Here is a 19173-nt window from a genome sequence, read left to right on the forward strand (position 1 = left end):
TCAGGTCTGATAGCACAGAGAAAGTATTTTCCACTTCCTTCTCAGCACAACATTTCCTAAGAATTATTTGCATCTGTTATTTCGACTTTCTCACATTCCAGTTTCTCTTTGTAGTAGATGGACAGAGATTGGTGACTCAATGTCTTTCCTTCACCTCACTGTGTAACAAAAACATGACTGCAGTGAAATTGATTGATCCTCCCTGCCATGGTGATTGGTCTAGGATGACCATATGGTAAGGGATGGTCCAAACAGGAGGACACTCAGAACTGTCCTTTCGTGTTTGAAGGTGGTGATTTAAGAAGGTGCGTTGCCTGGACACTAAACAACATAGCTGTGTTGCTGCCGTGAGGAAAGCCAGCCTCAAGGTAAAACTGACACAAGGACAGAACCAAGATAACCGCAAAGTGATGGAGCCAGAACTCTGATCGCACCGAAACTAAAACCTGTCTTAGTGCTGTACTTTTATGTAATATGAACCAGAAAATTCCTTATTTTTAAATCAGTTGAGATTTTCTGCTACCTATAGCCAAAAACACCCTAACTTGCCAACTTTTCTACCAGCTTCAATCAGAATTCAGCTCCATCACTTCACCAACGCTGCTGTTGTAAAGAGCATCAGTGGCCCTCATGTTGGAGAATCCAACAAATAGTTTTCCTGCTCCTGTATCTCTGCTCAGCCTTTGAAGATTAGATTTTCCATCCAATATGCAAGTGTGCTTAAGGATATTCACTGTAGCGTTGGATATCACAGCAAAATATTAAAAAATAGGCTACTGATACACTGAATACTGAAAATAATCTACTGATGCACACAATTTTATTTCATTTATGTTTTATTATTTTTATCTTAAATATATTTTAATTTTAAATATTATATAAATATATTCAAATGTTATAAAATTATTTTCTTTTAATATTTACACTTATTTCAAACTAATTTTATTTTTTGTTACTTTAACATTTTATTTAGTTGGTTTTTGCATTTATTTAATGTATAAATGTATTTATTGAATCACCAATAGGGGACTGAATAAGCTGCGTATTTCTTCCTTTGAGCGCAGCTGGTGCAATAAACAGGAGCTCGCAGAGTCCCGTGGCCGCGGAGGGGCGCCAGACTCCGGGGAAGAGCCAGAGCGAGGTCCGACGAATCGGGCTCTGCTGGCGACCAGCCCCCTTCCTTTCCTCCCTGGTGGGGCTGGCGGTGGGTGACCACGGCCGCATCTGGGAGGCGACTCTTCGGATTCAAGATGACCAACAAAAAACCCTCTTCCCCAAAGGGTTAGACTGAGCGAAACTTCAAACGGATGGCAGGAGATGAATGAATTCTAAAATGGAAACAATATGAAACACATGCGCAAGCTTTGGAGGCAAGAACGCTGACCTCAACCTCAGTGAAAACTAAAGCAAAAGCAGCAAGAGTCTGCGCGGGGCAAACGTCCTTGCGATGCGACTAGCAGACAAGAGGCAGGAGATGCGAGGCGTCCTACCCGAATTTAGTACCTCCAGCAAATCTGTGGCCCAGCGTGGCCCGATCAACAATGGTAGACCGAGCCATCAACCTGTTTTCCTAAAAATGAAAGGTGATCTGGCCCTGACTGAAGACAAACGGGAACAAGCCCAAAATGAACAGAGTGCCTGGAAGTTTACGCCTGGTAGGTAAACTCTCCAGTCATATTCTCAGTCAAGGCTTCCCTGACAGTCCCACTACTAGAAAGTCACTGGGGGGACAGCCAAGGACTCGTTTCTACACCAACACTCAGACTTTTTGAGAGGAAAGGAAAAAAGCCGCATTTTTATACTCCCCAGCTCCTAATGGTTAATGTGAAACTTACCAATGAACCTTGCACTTCAGTTCTTTCCCTCCCCATCCGCTTTGCTTCAGAAGCCTGGTAGACTTGCACTATCCCAAAGAAGCGGCCACCTCTGAAGAATTCCTCTTTGGGAACATGTGGATACTTGAGAAATGTTTCTGTTTGAAGAAAATAGAGGGAGAAACAAGGTCCTAAGGCACACAATGTCTTTGGACAGTTCGGAGAAATGAAAACCTGGAGACTTTAAATCATGAATTGAACATAAATTCCAGTAAAATGGAAAATGGACTATGCATTGCTCTTACCCTTGAGCATAGTGACTTAGAAACTCTAAAGAGCAGGTCTTCAAATAACATGGATTAGTTATGACGTCGAAGAGAAAAAAAATCCATTTCCGGTCAGGGCCATGGTCTGTGTGGAGTTTTCAGGTTCTCCCTGTGTCTTTGTGGATTTTCTCTGGGTACTTGGTTTCCTCCCACATCCCACAGCTGTGCACATGAGGCTCACTGGCTTGTCTACATGGTCGCAGACTGGTGAGTGTGAGTGAGTATGAGTGCGCCCTGCGATGATGGAATGGAGTCCTATCCAGGGCTGGCCTGAGCTGCCAGGATGGGCTCCAGCCACTCAACACTCTGAACTGAAACAAGAAGGTAAATAATTATCTTACTTGTTTTTTATTAATTTTTCTTAAATGTATGCATAACTCGCATTTATTTCAATGTTTACTTTTCCTTTTCTTTTTTTTTTTTTTTTTTGAGGCAGAGTCTCACTTTGTCGCCCAGGCTGGAGTTCAGTGGCGCGATCTCGGCTCACAGCAGCCTCTGCCTCCCTGGTTCAAACGATTTTCCTGCCTCAGCCTCCTGAGTAGCTGGGATTATAGGCATATGCCACCACGTCTTGCTGATTTTTGTATTTTTAGTAGAGACAGGGTTTCACCATGTTGGCCAGGCTTGTCTTGAACTCCTGACCTCAAGTGATCTGCCCGTCTTGACCTCCCAAAGTGCTGAGATTCCAGGTGTCAGCCACTGTGCTGGGCCTACAGTGTTTACTATTTAGAAGTGTTTTGGTCTTTAGTTAGAAGTTCGGTGATGTTTTTGTGACTTAGAAATATGCCATAGAAATTTAACTCTTGTTTGTATCAATTAGCCTATGGTAAAAATGGTTTCCTTATGCATCCCTTTGCTTAAAATCAGAGTTTCCAAGAACTTATCCAGATGTTAAATGAGGACTTTTCAACATATTGGTTTTGCCAGTAAGACTGTGAACTTCATCATTGTTGTTGAACTGCTGGGTCAAAACTCAAATGAGGTGAATTTTGCCTTTAAAGGGATTATTTGCTAAGAACCAACCTTAAATAGTCACAGAAAATCAAATATTAGTTGTCAGTATAAGTCGTTCATATATTTAACCATTTAGTTTGAGGCTCTATATTACTTGATTCTTTTTTATTGATACATAATAATTGTACATATTTATGGGAATTATTGAGTCTTAAATGAATGTGGTTTTAATCAATGGTTTACCTTTGAATGGTTGTAAATATTGTAGATAATCTTATTGAGAACTGTGCAAACATGAAGGTGTGGTATCAAACTTCAGGTTTAAGCTGTTTGAAGCATTATAAACATTCATTTCACAACCAGATTGCTTAAGGATGTTGGCTGTGGTGAGACTCACTGGGTTATTTTTTTCAGGAGTGAGCTTTATTAAATCCGCATTCCATTCGGCAGGCATGTGCTGAAAGAGCATTATCATTGGTGTTAATGGACAAATGTGTTTTTTCATTGTATTTGGGCCTTTTGTATTGTGGTCTTGATATTAAATTAAGTGCACCTAAAGAAAAAAAAATTGAATAAAGCAATTCTACATGTACTAATGTGGAATAGCTGCCAAGATACATTAAGTGAAAAAAATCAAAGAGCAAGACAGTGTAATTTTGCATAGTACCATTTTTATTTTGAAAGATTATATTAATGCTTGGTATGCGTAAAATAGCTCTGGAAGGATTCAAGAAAGATCTGCTTGGTTACCTCTGAGAAAAGGAGTTAGATGTTGGAAACAGGGGTGGGAGGAAAATTGTTTATATTGCATAATGTCTTTTAACGTTTGGATTTTGTGTTGTGGCTAAGGTAGTACCTATTAGAAATAAATAAAATTAGGTAATTTTAAAAATAAAGAAATGCTGTAAATTTTGACCAAATGTTGCTATTCATTAGTTTTATCTTAAACTCTCCCCATATGATCTCTCCCATACTTCTGGCTTTAAGAATAATCTCAATGTTGAAACCTTCCATATACATATATGTTTTATATATATGTGTGTGTCTCTTTTGCATTTCAGATTCCTTTAGCTCTTGGGTGCTTGAATTTCTCCAACACATTTCAAAAATGGGCAAACATAAAAAATTCATCCTAACTCTTGCCCTTCCTTCACAAACCTTCTTCTCTCCAAGTCTTTCCCCATCTCAGTAAATGCCGTCACCATCAGCTCTTATGCTCAAGCAAGCTACCTAGGATTTACTCGGAACATTTCCTTTTCTCTCAAATTGCATATCTAATCCATCACTAAGTTCTGTTATCTATCTCATATCTATAGAGTCTACTCTCATTCCTAACTCTCCCGTGTGCCCATGTGGTCCAAGCCATCATCTCCCCTCTTAGTCTCCACACCTCCTTTCAAAACCTCCTTCAATGCCATTCCCTCAAAAGTTCTTCTAAAACCATCTGGTTCAAAATAGATCCTCCTATTATTTTTTTCCCTTTATAACTCTTATGAAATTTACAATTGCGTATTTATATTTGTGGTTATCTACACGTGTTCTTTTCGCTGGATTATAATCTCGATGAGGGCAGGGGCCTGTGTCTATTATTTTCATATTCTTATGCCTGCAACCTAGCATAATGCCTGGCATATGGAATATGATTTGTAAATTACTCTCAGATGAATGGATAAGTTAAAAACGGCTCTTACCATGTACGAGGCATTGTGCTAGAGACATTAGTTATGGATGATAAACCAATGTTAGAATCGTCATTTGCCAATGGGCATTTACATCCAGGCACAGGCAGATACAAAATGAGTACAAGAGTATATTTTACCATGTGAATAGGGTAGATATGAGGAAGTTTGCTTGCTAGGTCAGGGGAGGGACCTGCACTGAGGGAATTTATAAGTAAAAGGAAAAGATGAAAAACAAGTCTGATTTCCTCACCCTGTAAAATGAGATGTGCAAACAAGGCAATTTGCTATGATTATAGGATTCCCTTCACAGTTTTTCCTAGAGCCTGCTCTACAATGTCACAACCCCTCTAGATTTTTTGCCTTAGGTATGTCAGGACACATAAAATGTCTAGGTGGTAGAAATAAGCATCCTGTTTGCAGGGCTCATGAGGAGGGCAAGTGGTAGATTCTCTGCAGTTCTGGAACCCATTGTGAACCCCAAGCCATGGAGACTCTAGTCTACTGGCTGAGCATGCTCAGCCCATAAAGTGCCCAAATTATGAGAACAACTTGCCCTTGAAACAAACAAACACAACAATAAGATAAAATAACTGACAAATCGTCTTTATTAAATAAGCAAATAGTCTACACAGATACAGTCACTTGTCTGTTGCACACGAGTGCTTCCCCTTCTCTTGGGAAAGATCACTCTATGTGACAAGGTGCAAGCTAAGCAGCAGCCCATTTGAATGCCCTGTAATAACATAAAAATGACCGGCAAGATACAGATTCACGCTCAAGTTCCCTTGAGTGTGACTCGAGTCACAGCACAGGCAGGAGAAAACGAACATTTCAATTCACAGAGACTTAGGTGAAGAATTATTAGCTTCATTTAAAGTGCCCATATTGTGCCTTCTACATATCTCTTTCAACAATTAAGCCAGCTGTTACTCTTCAAAGTGTGTGTCACTTTCTTTGCATTTGGGTCAAACTCCAACTGTGAAGATCCAGTAAAGAAATAAAAGAACCCTGCAAATACAGACAAGGGAAATAGTAAGATATTTTTCCAAATAAAGACATTTGACAATATACAAAACTCAGAATCATAGAGAACTAAAAATAGAAAGTGTTTATAGAGCTTTACTTTATGTCAGGGACTATGCCAAGCTTGTTACATGAATTTATTTTCATTTATTTCTGCAACAACCCTATGAGGTTGTATGTCTAACTCCATTTACAGATTGAGCAAGTTGAGGTTGAGACAGATTTCGATGCTTCCTCAAGGTTACTCAGCAAGGAAGAATGGAGACAGCACTCGGTGCCAGCTCTGTCTGAAAACACAGCCAGATTCCAGGTTACAGGGTTATTCTGCTTCCGATCAGATAAATTCTCCACTTGCTTGGAAACTCTCATCACCTATTTCTTTCTTCCCCAAAAATCCTCCTCCCTTTTCCCTGCATTGCAGCCTAGGAAGCACAGCAACTATTTCAAAACACCAGGGGACCCTTTAGTGCTCTGCAAACATGGTGATCAGGTTACCTTTCAATAAAGATCATCAGCCTCCACTTCCTTACCTTGAGTAGAAAACAAAATCTTTTTTTTTTTTTAAACTTTGGGCACATGGAAAGGTAAGTATTTGCAAATGACTGGCATGGGCAATGACTGACAACTCAGGAAAGACAGACAAAAAATCTCCCTGGGAATTAGTAGCAGCAATAAGATAGGGTGGAGGAGAAGGCCAGCTAACCAACATTAAACCTGGCCACACCACTTGATGGGATTTTTATGCTAACATGGTAATCTGAAAGTCGAGCTTGACTCCACATGTTAGCTCGAGATGTAAGTGACACTGGAGCACTTTGATTTTATATGCATGTATAAGATAAAGTAGCGAGATTTGTGTAATTATCTTTATGGTTCCAAACAAGTTATTTTGTGAAGTAGTTCTATAATGAGTACAAATGTAGGCGAATCAAAATTTTGAGAAGGGAACTGGCCCTAAGAAACACTTGTTATTAAAAAGTTTCAATGCTCCTCTTCCCTCTGATATCATAAAATGTTTCAAGTGCTCTATGGCCAACACAGTAAGTATCCTCTTACCAAATTCTTCAAAAACAGCATCAATCTTTGAGTCAATCCCTGGAAAGTCTTCAGCTATTTGCTTGGGAAAGCCTGGCTCCATGGAATTTCTCTTCTCATCAAATCTGTACCAAGTAAAAGAAACAGCTCAGCATTGCATAGAGGCCATGTTACCGAACATCTTAGATCATGTTAGGTTTAATGTGGAATTTTACTAAACTTTATAAATACTGCAAATAAATGCCAAGCATATTTGGGACTATAGAAATATGTGACTTTAATGGTACTGTAAAGAGTTCTGAAAGCCATATCTCCATCCGGAACAGGGGCCGCATCCTGCTGTATGTAGCACATGCTGTTTGTCATCATATTTCTTAAGCCTGGACAGAAAGAACCTTAATCATCTTTCTGTCACAAAGACATGAAAGTGTGAACATATATATAAAGTGAATTGAATCAACATCTAAAATGCAATTTTAATTCCCTACCACAATTGGCCCATATATGCCTGCTGTCCCCTCCCCTGCACATCTAAATCTTCTCTGGTGGCCTCCTGGGAAAAGGGATTAGGATAAGAAGCAAAGCACAGTAAGTGTGTTTTTAGCCCATTGGCTGGATATCAGATGGTCGGCCTCGATGTCTCAAAGTCTGGCCAAATGACCCAGGAATCAACCTGTCTGTGAGTGTTGGGTTGTATCCATAAACTGGACTGCTATTGATCATCATCTCTTAAATGAGCCATCATTATCAGGTAGAGGTGACAAGTGGGTGAGGTTAGAGGTAGCCCTTGAAAATCATATAGTAGTGTTAGGAAGACAAAACAAACACACAATGAGACAGTGACAAACACACAGTGAGACAGTGAGCCAAACTAAAAGACAATGGGAAGGGAACGCTAAATTGCGGTCTGGGTTCTCAGAACATTTTCCCAATGGGTCTAAAGTCCACGAGGGAAAGCTGCATGGAGGTGATGAGACTTGAGCCAGGACTTGAAGGATGGGCAAGATTTGAATAGGTTGAGGAGAGAAGAGGGGGCTCCAGGCAGGTGGGGTGACAGCACCAAGGGAAGCACCAGCCAACTGCACTTGGGACTGAAAGCAGGAGAGCCTAAGGTGCTGCTGTTTTAAAGTAAGAACTTTCCCACAGTTGTCTGAAGTCCCATCCTTCCTACTAAGAGAGAAGCAGGCCTAAGGTTGGGGTGGGGGATTTCCTTAGTAAAAGAAACTAATTTCCCTAATTAGGCTCCATACAAAGTCATTTCTCTTGCATCTCACCTCCAGTATTTGTCCTCTACAAAGAAATATGTTTTGTTCTTTTCCTTATCAGAAATGGCTGCATCGATTTTCCTCACGGTTGGAGGGAAACCTAGGGTGTGGATGCCTCTTGGGTATCCAGCTCGTACCTCATTTCCTCTGATAGCCCAGAATTGATTTCCTGTTAAATATAAATAATTCAGAGTCATATTGAATTATAACAGTTAAGCCCTTTCGCTTTAGAAATACACTTTAGCATCTTTGATTTTCATGGTAAAGTAGTAGCCCAAATTTTAGATTTAGTCACCAGCTTACAGTGGGCTTTTCACAAAAATTTGCAGACTGAATGAATGAACTAAGGTCAAATGAGAGAATTTACAACTCTGGGTAATTTATCTTCTTGTCTTTATTTTTATCATCTATGAAATATAAATACAATGATATCAGCCCTGGTTATTTCTTCATTACCGTTGACTACTGTATTAGCCAGAACTTGTAGTAGGGAAAATTAAAGTGTTGTTCAATTTCTTATGAGAGGGTTTACTTTGGCAAGTTAAACAAATGATGATATAGTAATTACCTTTAAAAATGAAAACGAGGTCCTTGCTAGTAACTTCATATGCGGCATCCACGCCTGAAGGAAGAGATGGCCAAAATGAAGAGATCAAATGCAATTCAGGTTCAAGCTTCCTGAGGGATTTGCGCCAAAAGTGCCTAAAATATATGTAAAAAGAAATGTAAATTGAAAAACAATCTTTCACCTTTAGAATATTTTCCTCACCGTCTTGCCTCACCCAGCTTCCCCCATTCTCTCATCTTCTAGGCTGGATGACAGATAGAAATCAGGTATATTGCCATTAGAAAATTTCTTTCCTTTTTCTTCAGAAGACTGTAGTGAGTCTCCCGTCATAGGTTTCCAGAGTAATGTCTTCTATGAAAGAAAAATTATTCTATCGTGCAAATGAATTAGCCCAGCATAAGCTTTAATTACCTGCAATGTATGCAAAACAGTGCGTGTGCTATACCCTCTTCCAAAAGCTAGGCCGTGTTTGTATACGTGTATGTGCTGTGTAAATATATTCTTGTATGTGTGTAGAAAGATTCTGGAAGGATGCACAAAAAGTCTTGACTCTGGATGAGTACAGGGAGAACTGGGAACTAAAATTTTTAATTTGCTTCTCATTTGTGCTCTTTGAATGTTTGTCATGTGCATATTGATCCATCAGTAAGTAAATTACTTGATTAAATGTAATGTTGATCCTGATGTCATTTTTAAAGGAAGTAAAAATAAAATTATTATTCGAAAGATCTACTCATGCCTTTTGAAAAGTAACTGTGACTTAAGACATTTGGAAACAGCAATTAGAAGCTAAGAACCAGATCAGCCTGTGCCTTCAAAAATGAACCTGACAATTTTAGGAAAATGTGGGAAAAGGCAGCACCAGATCTAAATGATTCCAAGCTCAGAAGAAACGTTTTTGTTTTAAATGTCTAAGAATCTCTATCAAGTTTCTGCGTGTTTTCCTTTCTAAACATTGTAGATTAAAATGGTAGGAAAATATAATTTTTCAGCCTGACCTGTCTTTAAAGATCAGGATTTCTCCCCTCAGAGTGCTGACAGCATCAAAGGACAAAGCAGGATCACAGTTGGCTGGCGTCCCAGGTTCTGGAGGGACAGGTTCCGTGGGTACCAGGGGGGTCTCAGGGGAGTCAGGGGGAGGTCCTAAAGGGAACATTAGGGGAAATGTGATACGTTTCAATATATGCCCATTTGTATGCTTTCCAAACATTCTCACGGTGCTTTGAACTAAATCATAAATACTTTATGTAGCATTTGAAAGCTCTTCTGAAGACCATCATTGCAAAACTACAATGGCTGATTTTCCCAGTGTCACTCACCATAGAGGGACTGAATGCCATTTATATCATCTTGAGACAGGCGGAACCGAGTCAGGTCTGTGAGTGAGTGATAGAGTGGGTACATCAAAGCTTCAGTGTTGGCTGAGTGAAAGAGACCCAGGGAGTGGCCAATTTCATGAGCAGCAACGAGAAATAAATTGGTCCCTATTTAAGAAATTGAGAACAATAGTTACTTATTTTTTAAATACATGTGCATTACACAGGTCTGCTGTGCATTGTATTGGTTTTTACTTCTTGGAACCACACAGGGCTTTTTACACCTTGTTTGTTGGTTAATTGAACAATTGACTAATTACACACTTAATGGAAAGCTAAGTGTATTTTAAAACTCATACCTGTAATCAATCTTTGAGATTGATTTCCCAGTTACATCCACTTGCCCCCCATGGCCCCAAACCCACCCCCAGCCTCACAAGCATATTAACTCCAGAAGAACCAGATCCCTTTTCTTGTACTCAGGAATGGAATGAACCCACTTGCTTAGCATATCAGATATTTACCTTCATTTGTCAATGCAAAGCTAAACACTGTTTTAATATATTTACATTTGCCATTTGCAGTCTCAGTTAAAGGAAACTATATTCATGTTAATTGATAATGTCTCAGCCTCATCATCATGAAGTACATATTGAGACTAAAAACATGAATAATGATAGATGTCATAGGATTTGCAAAATTGGTTTAAAACACAGTATGCCCAATCATGTCTAGCATTTGTCACACAACAGATTTAGAATACATAAACACTGGCTTTATTCAAAATTTTTTCCTTCATATTTTTAAAAACACCCATAATGCTAAAATTGGGAGGCATTGGGTAATTATGATCAATATAGTAAGTAAATCTACCTTACTTTTGCTAGTATTACTTGTGTAACTTGTGATGCTAGGAACAATCTCATTTGAGAGTTTGCAGGAAGGTTTCTTTACAAGAATTCGTTAACTCAACCAATCAAGAATTCTATCCAGGACTAAACTCACATTTGTACGTCCTACAGAGGTTTACATTTTCATTATAAATCCCAGTTAAACCTCAGACATAGTATTAATTGTTTTCCTATTTTTTTAGAAGTAGTGTTAATTGTTTTAGCTGATTTTTTTGAAAACTTTGGATGTCATTCCCCAAAACATACAGTTATGAACTGAGAAACATTCTTCTACCTAAACAGTTTGAACGTTGTATTTGGGAGTTAGTCTTTTCCTTCAGAACAAGCCCATAAAAATTCTTTTAACCTAAAAGTACTAAAATAATGCCTCAGCCAGAAAAAAAAAAAAAAGAGAATCTCAGTTTCTGAAATTTAATTCTTATTTCTGGTTTGAAGAGTAAAGAAGTAAATGGAGGAAATTACATAAGTAACATCCAGAGCACATTTTAATGTAGATTCAGTGCAATATACTATCCCTTGAATGTTTGTATTTTGATATGAGAAATTTTTCTTAATAATGGTTACCCCTAGATCACAAAGATCCAGTCATTAAAGAAATACTTAATGATATTTCCTATATTGTGCTTACCAATATAGGAAAACTGTTAAAGCATCTGAAAATATTTTCAATAATAATTAAAACAAAAATATATTCTGCTGATCTCTGATCCACTGGAAAATCCAGAACATCTCATTTCTTGAGCATTCTTGGTTATTAACAGATTTCTACATATAAAAAAATTAATGCCAAAATCATTCTGAGAGATGTGTAACTAACCTGTTGTATCCTTTGTCCATTGTTCATCATCATCAAAGTGGGCATCTCCATTAATCCCTGGCCCAGGGGCATAGGCATGGGCCAAAACATTTCCAGGTCCATCAAAAGGGTAAAAGTCTCCATGTTCTAGTAGGAAAAAAATTTATTGGAAAGATATGTAACAAGGATCCCTTTTGAGCCTTTTCCAGTACAACAACACCAGATAGATGAATGGATACATTTCATGTGTTTTTTGTTTTGTTTTGTTTTGCTTTTTTTTTTTTTTTTTTTTTTTTACCTCTAACTGCAAAAGAGATCATTATATCAGCCTCTCCTTCATACAGCCTGGAGAATGTGAGTGGAGTCACCTCTTCCCAGACTTTCAGAGCTTTCTCAACAGCAGAATCAACAGCATCTTTTGGCAAATCTGGTGTATAATTCACAATCCTGTAGGAGAAAAATTGAAGCAGATGCTATTTTCTCCTATGATATAGTTTATAAAATTCCAATCTTATGTGAAAACCCCTCTGAACCATTACCTGTATGTAAGGTGGGTTTTCCTCCACTTCGGGATGCCAGGAAAGGTTCTGAAGTGACCAACATCAGGAACTCCACACCTGGGCTTGCGCATCACCTCCAGAGTGTCGGAGTCCAGCTTCCCCGTCACCTCCAATCCAAGGAACTTCTGCATTTCTCGGATTTTTTTAACAACAGGACCACTGTCCTTTCTCCTAACAAACTGTTTCACATCTTTTTTGAGGTCGTAGTAGTTTTCTAGATATTTCTAACAGAATAAGTATAGTTTTTAGGTCACTCTTACAATTTTTACTATAGCTATCTATTTATAGTAAGTTTTTGCAGTTGCTCACTTCTTAATCTATTTGGAGTATTTCTCTAGCTTGCTGAAATAATGGCAAATTTTATAATATGATACTAGCAACACAAATATTTAGCTAAAATTACGTTGCATTAAAAAAAAAACTGAAGCTGTTCCAAAGCAAGATATGGTTCATCCACTCTCCACTTGTTACTCATGTGCCTTAAGCCCCAGTGCTGCTACTGCTATGGTGTTGTGTGATCTTAAGAAAACACCTAATATTTCTGGCCTTTGTTTCTTCCTACATAAGAGGAGAAGCCCAAATGGTGTGATAATGAGACCTTTTCCACTTCCAACACTCTATAACTCTCTATTCTTGAACTGTTCCTACACAGTAAGCTCAAGCATTCTATGTGGGTTTTAAGACACACAGAATGGTTTCAGCTTACTCTGGAAGCTCCCCACCTGGCCAGGTCAGTTAGTGTTAATTACCTGAACAAGGTTCATGCTGGTGTCCTCACCCCTTGCAGCTCCATCCAATGGATAGGCTGAGCAAACTGCCACGCACAGCAACAGTAGGATTGGAAGACTCTTCATTTCCACTGGCTTTACTTAGCTCTATGTTGTCTCTATGCCTTGCTGTCTTGCCTGCCTCCTTGTAGGTCCAACCTCGGGAGCGCAGCTTTTAAAGAGTGACAGTGTTTGTTTGGATCACCCGCAGCTTGACTCATCCTTGCTTTCATCCAAATGGCAGCAGGACCATTTCCAAACATTCCAAATTCAAAGTAGGATGATACAACCTACTTTACTAATTTCTCTCAACCTTCCCAATTTTGCAAGGCAACACAGTGATTAATCTCCAGGAAGTGCTTCCTGTCTTGGTAGAGGAGAAAACTGGAGCATTTTTTTTCTTCTGGAAAAATTGACTGGAATTCACTAGACAATTTATGTTTGTCCTTTTGAGAGAAGAAGTAGGTTGACTTGGTAAAAATCAGAATTGTGCAGAACTTCTAAAAGCAGTTTTATTTTAAGAAACACATTATAAAAGCAAATAAAAGATGTAAGTGGAAAGTGTACATACATAGCTATAGTCTATACTATATACAATTATACTCAAAACATAAAAGATAATATCTAGAAGAAATTTAGAAGGGGTGATTTATTTTTCTGAATCTGATTTGTAATGCCTGCTATTGACTGTCGTTGGATTTGCTGGTTCTTGAGGAGGAAAACCTCATGGGCAGAATAGAACAAAGAGGGTCTGTGAAAAAGAAGGAAGTATATTCCCTTTGGGTTGGTTTTAATTCTGTAACCAATTTATTAATGGGTGATGGGCCCACGTAGCTGCTCCATAAATAGTTGTAGAATTGAAATGAATTACATTGCTTACCGGACTGAAATTCTCTCTGTCCTTGTCTTCTACACATGTCTTATTCTCTTTCAACCTTTTCCCCTCCTCCCTAAATTCAAATTAGCAGATGCTTTGAAGTTGAAGAACAGAATCCATCCTAAATTTTCTCTTCATGCTCTTCTGTTTTCTTCCTTTCCTTTCTTTTCTGTTTCTTTGTCAAGTAAAGTGTTGCTCACATTATTGGTGTATAATAAATGCTTGAATGCAAGACTCTAAACATATTCAGAGGAAGACATTTTGTAAAACTTTTATAGTCCTCTTGCCACCTGCCACCATCCATCTCCTCAATGCTTCCCTGATCACCACATTTTGTTTGTTCTTTCTTTCTTTGCTGACTTGCTTATTTGTTTGCTAAAGGGAAGAACATCTTGGGAGTAAGAACTCAGTAGAATGATGGATACAAATGTGCATTTATTAGACCTTTAATAAGTGCCCATTTTGCTTCCTCTCATTTATAACTCTTTTGCATTTTCTTCTTTGCTTTATTTTTTGTGTGTTTCTTAATAAACATTGGAGAGATTTTACCCAATAAGTTTAAAGGGATTTCTCTGTGGCAATAAGATCCCTATGACTGAAGATGCCCACACAGTTGATAGCCACTTGGCAGGGGGCTATACATCACATTTAAGCCTTCATTTTTAGACTAGATTATGTCTAAAGACTTTTTCAAATTTTATTTAAAAAATAGAGACAGAGGTTTCACTATGTTGCCCAGGCTGGTTTCGAGCTCTGGGCTCAAGTGATTCTCCTGCCTCAACCTCTCAAAGTGCTAGGATTACAGACATGGGTCACGGCACCTGGCCTAAAGACATTTTAAAACTAGTATTCTATGGTTCTCCATTCCTTTGATGGGGGGAAAAACCATGTCTTGTCCTGATTGAAATACAGGGAAAATATTTGGCCACATTGATATGAGGACAAGGAGAACAGAGTGGTGGCAGTGATGTGAATTCCAGGAAGAAACAGTGGAGCCCAACAGATAAAATATTGAGAGGTTAAAAGTGTAGAAGCTGTGGCAGCTCTAATTCCTTCTATATTAAGGTTTATCCTTTGTAAATTTTCTCTGGAGTTATAACTTATAAAACATATTTAAAGTTTAGAGGAAAGCCTGATAGATAATATGTTTGCTTTTCCAACTGTTAAGATGTGATTGGCAAAATGGGCCATGCTGTTCCTGAACTAAATACAAAAGTTTGCTATATTTTAAAACAGCTTCGACGACTTCCCTGAAAGATGTTTCCCAAGTCCCAGGAAGAGTCATTAATCATTGTTCAATGGTACCTTGTACCTGCCTCTGCTACTCTATTTTCCACACTGAACTGTAGTGAAATGGTTTATCTGTCTCTCTCATTCTAATGTAAGCTACTTGAGGGTATGGACCATGCCTCATTTGATTCTGTATTCCTAGTACTTAGCATGGTATCTGATATATAGTAGGTAACCAAAAATTACTTAGAGAACTAAATAATATATTAGTTATGAGTGAAAGGCTCATAGCAAATGTCAAACAGGTAAATTAAAAGTCAAAAAATCCAAAAATCATGCAGACATTTCTAGATTTGCAGATTCTACATGTCATATATACTAAATACTCTAAAAACTAAATTTTTTAGAAGTTGTATTTCCACAAGAAAAGATCAAGCTATCATCTAAAATCTCTCTAATATATAATTGAAGTCCTCATTCATATGTCTGCAGAACACTCAAACTAATCTTGTAGAACCAGAAGTTTTCTAACCGTGCATGAGACAGTCAAATTGCATTTTGTAGAGTATGTTTTAAAAATCAATGCAGTAATGAGAAGGAATAGGTAAAATTAAAGAGCAACTGAGTGTAAGAAGGAACGGAGGGAGAAGGAGGGAGAAGAGAAAGGGGGAGGAAGATGAGGAGAGGGGAGGAGGAGAGCAAACACTCCAGGTGTAGAGGGAGGAACTGAATACTAGCGGAAAAAAAGTGGGCATTTCCAGCAAGAAATCAAAATGACTGTTCCACAGAACAATCATTTGTTATATGGTTAAATAAATACAAGGGTCAGATAATGGCTAGTTTTATAAATCTGACCTCCCAGGGATCAGCGGCTTAGAATTAAATTTACATTCAATCTAATCCTTGGATTTAAAAACTGGCAGTGATCCCAGGTAACATTCTATCTCGTAACTTTTCACATTTGTCTTCCTATTTGTCACACTTCTCCATGACTAATCAGACATGATTGTGCAGGATCCTTGCTACCTCTAGCTGATAACTGATATAATCATTATTTCAGCTATACATTCATTTATCAAGTATCTGAGTCTCAAGGGCTTCAGAATACCCAAACTAAGAGTATAGATTTGGAGATAAAGTTTAGAAAATTTTAGTAAAAAAAAAAAAGTGAACAAACTAGCTGTTTAAAAGCAGGAAAGAAAGAAGAAAGGAAGGAAGGGAAGGAGGTATAGGAAGGAAGGAAGGGAAGAAGGTAGAGGAAGGAAGAAAGGAAGGAAGGAAGAAAGGAAGGAAGGAAGGAAAAGAGGGAGGGAGGGAGGGAAGGAGGGAGGGAGGGAGGGAAGGAGGGAAGGAGAGAATATAACCTAGCCAAGGAAAGAATCCCCTATATAATTAATTCTATAAGAAATAAGCCTGGTATGGTGGCTCCTGCCTATAACCTCAGCACTTTGGGAGACTGAGATAGGAGGACTGCTTGAGCCCAGAAGTTGAAGACCCACCTAGGCAACATAGGGAGACCTCAGCTCCACGAAAAAATAAAAATAATTAGCCACTTGTGGCAGTGCACACCTGTAGTCCCAGCTATTTGGGAAGCTGAGGCAGGAGGATCACTTGAGCCCTGGAAGTGAGCTGTGATGGTGCCACTGCACTCCAGCCTGGGCAAGAGAGCAAGACCCTGTCTCAAAAAAAAAAAAAAGTAAAAAGTTGTACACGAATTAAGCAGAAGGTGCTTGCTTACTTTAGGTGTTTCCTTTAGAAAAAACTCATAGATAAAGTAGCAGATAAAGTGAGCCTGGAATGATCTGGAAATGGAGGAAAATTGCTTCTTGGCCTTTTGGCTAAGAACAAGGGTGGAAATGGAGGAAAATTCAGTAACAGAGTATACAAGTATGCAGAGTCAAGAAAGACTCTATATGGAAAACGTCAAAGAGTTACTTTTTATTGAAATAAAAGGTATGTGAAGGGTAATAATGGAAAATAAAAAATAAAGTTGTGAAAAGATAGGTTGGAGTCCAGTCATAGAAGACCATTAGTCTGTAGCTAAGGTGCTTAGAGCTTATTCCATTGTTGGTGGAAAGCCATGTGATATGGTCTGGCTGTGTCCCCAACCAAATCTCATCTTGAATTGTAACTCCAACAATTCCCACATGTCGTGGGAAGAACCCAGTGGGAGGTGATTGAATTATGGGGGTGGGTCTTCCCTGCGCTGTTCTCATGATAGTGAATGAGTCTCATGAGATCTGATGGTTTTAAAAATGGTAGTTTCCCTGCACAAGCACTTTTTTTGCCTGCTGCCTTCCACGTAAGACATGACTTGCTCCTCCTTACCTTCTGCCATGATTGTGAGGCTTTCCCAGCCACGTGAAACTGTAAGTCCATATTAAACCTCTTTTTCTTTCCAGTCTCTGGTATGTCTTTATCAGCAGTGTGAAAACAAACTAATACACTAGTTTCTACAAAACATTTTAAATAAATTTTACATACTTAAATAAAACGTTAAATGTTTATTATAGAAAATTTAGAATATATAAAAAAGTACAAAGAAGAAAATAAATCTTTTATAGTCATGACCCAAAAAGAAAAACACTACTAACAGTATTAACTATGTATTTCCTCTAATTTCTTTATACCTGTGTATTCTTTTTCACATCATGCTGATCATGGGAGTTTATAAAATTTCATCTATATTTTCCACAATTTTGAATATCACTAGCTGGACAGAAGTACTAACAAGGCAACATATTCCATCTGAATTATAGGGCCATGTTGCTCAGACTGGTTTCAAATTCCTAGGCCTGAGTGATTTGCCCACCTTGGCCCCGCAAAGTGCTAAGATTACAGACATGAGCCACTATGCCTAACAATAAAATATTTTGATACTGGTATGCAATATGTAGCAATCACATTGGGGTAAATGGGGGTATTCATCACCTCAAGCATTGATCACTTCCTTGTGTTACAAACATTCCAACTTATTGTTTAGTTATTTTAAAATGTACAATAAATTGTTGACTGTAGTCACCCTGTTGTGCTATCAAATACTATATAATATTCATTCTAACTATATTTTTGTACCCATTAACCATACCCACTCCCACTACCCCCCACTACACTTCTCAGCTACTGGTAACCCTCATTCTACTCTCTATCTCCATGAATTTAATTGTTTTAATTTTTAGATCCCACAAATAAGTGAAAACATGTGAAGTTTGTCTTTCTGTGCCTTGCTTATTTCACTTAATGTAATGTCCTCCAGTTCCGTCAATGTTGTTGCAAATGACAGGTCTCGTTCTTTTTCATGGTTGAATGGGACTCCACTGTGTATATGTACTATGTTTTCTTTATCAATTCATCTGTTGACGGACACAGGTTGCTTCCAAATCTTGGCTATTGTGAATAGTGCTGCAGTTAACATGGAAGTGTAAATATCTCTTTGACATGTTGATTTCATTTCCTTTAGATAAATATTCAGTAGTGGAATTGCTGGATCATATGGTAGGTCTATTTTTAGTTTTTTGAGAAACTTCCGTACTGTTGTCCATGGTGGTTGTACTAATTTACATCCTCACCAAGGATGTATGAGGGTTCCCGTTTCTCCACATCCTTGCCAGAATTTGTTATTGCCTGTTTTTTGGGAAAAAAGCCATTTTTACTGGGATAAGATGATATCTCATTGTAGTTTTGATTTGCATTTCTCTGATAATCAGTGATGTTGAGCACTTTTTCATATCACATAGGTTTTCATAGTTGAAATCAGACTATATATTCTGATTTTTATGCCTATTTGCCATAGAAACTTTCAAACATTCTAGTTGGAAGGGGAATTAGAATAGAAAAGGGATGAGGCACAGGTAATTTCTGCACGTGATGGCTCAGTCTTTTTTCATTTATAAAAGCATAATGACTCAGATCACTCCACATGAGTGGTAAAAATGTTGAAATCTATCACTTAAATACTTTGAGAATGACAATAGCTTTTATGTGGCTCCAGGCAACTCTGTTTTTATGGAGGGAAAGAGCATTTTGTAATATTCTTGGCACAAATATTC

The 19173-nt window shown here is 38.2% G+C and overlaps 1 protein-coding gene and 1 pseudogene across 2 annotated transcripts in view, besides 2 other annotated features; one reads left to right on the forward strand and one right to left on the reverse strand.

Moving 5' to 3' along the window:
• WTAPP1 (WTAP pseudogene 1) overlaps positions 1–6324 on the forward strand; it is a 53091-nt pseudogene extending 46767 nt beyond the window's left edge. Inside the window, exons 5-8 of the transcript NR_038390.1 lie at positions 290–368; positions 1026–2464; positions 3010–3122; positions 5996–6324. The product of NR_038390.1 is annotated as a WTAP pseudogene 1 (transcript). The remainder of the gene's footprint in view (positions 1–289; positions 369–1025; positions 2465–3009; positions 3123–5995) is intronic.
• Positions 2447–2652: a silencer, noted in NCBI's record as "fragment chr11:102703620-102703825 (GRCh37/hg19 assembly coordinates)". NCBI's record gives its function as "represses an EF-1alpha promoter that drives an FKBP-Casp9 reporter gene in an ReSE screen in K562 erythroleukemia cells {active_cell/tissue: K562}" and the evidence as "EXISTENCE:reporter gene assay evidence [ECO:0000049][PMID:32094911]".
• On the reverse strand, positions 5359–13167 carry MMP3 (matrix metallopeptidase 3). The gene is made up of 10 exons (NM_002422.5): positions 13000–13167; positions 12230–12474; positions 11989–12137; positions 11712–11837; positions 9987–10151; positions 9666–9810; positions 8668–8801; positions 8109–8268; positions 6856–6959; positions 5359–5784 (listed from the first exon to the last, which is right to left on the reverse strand). The coding sequence occupies exons 1-10, from the start codon at positions 13102–13104 to the stop codon at positions 5684–5686; spliced, it is 1434 nt and encodes a 477-aa protein (NP_002413.1). The 5' UTR covers positions 13105–13167; the 3' UTR covers positions 5359–5683.
• Positions 6028–6529: an enhancer, noted in NCBI's record as "NANOG hESC enhancer chr11:102707201-102707702 (GRCh37/hg19 assembly coordinates)". NCBI's record gives its function as "activates a minimal SCP1, AML or CMV promoter by ChIP-STARR-seq in primed H9 embryonic stem cells {active_cell/tissue: H9 hESC(primed)}" and the evidence as "EXISTENCE:reporter gene assay evidence [ECO:0000049][PMID:30033119]".

This window comes from Homo sapiens, chromosome 11 (assembly GCF_000001405.40).
Source record: "Homo sapiens chromosome 11, GRCh38.p14 Primary Assembly".
In the NCBI taxonomy this organism is placed as follows: Eukaryota; Metazoa; Chordata; class Mammalia; order Primates; family Hominidae; genus Homo; species Homo sapiens.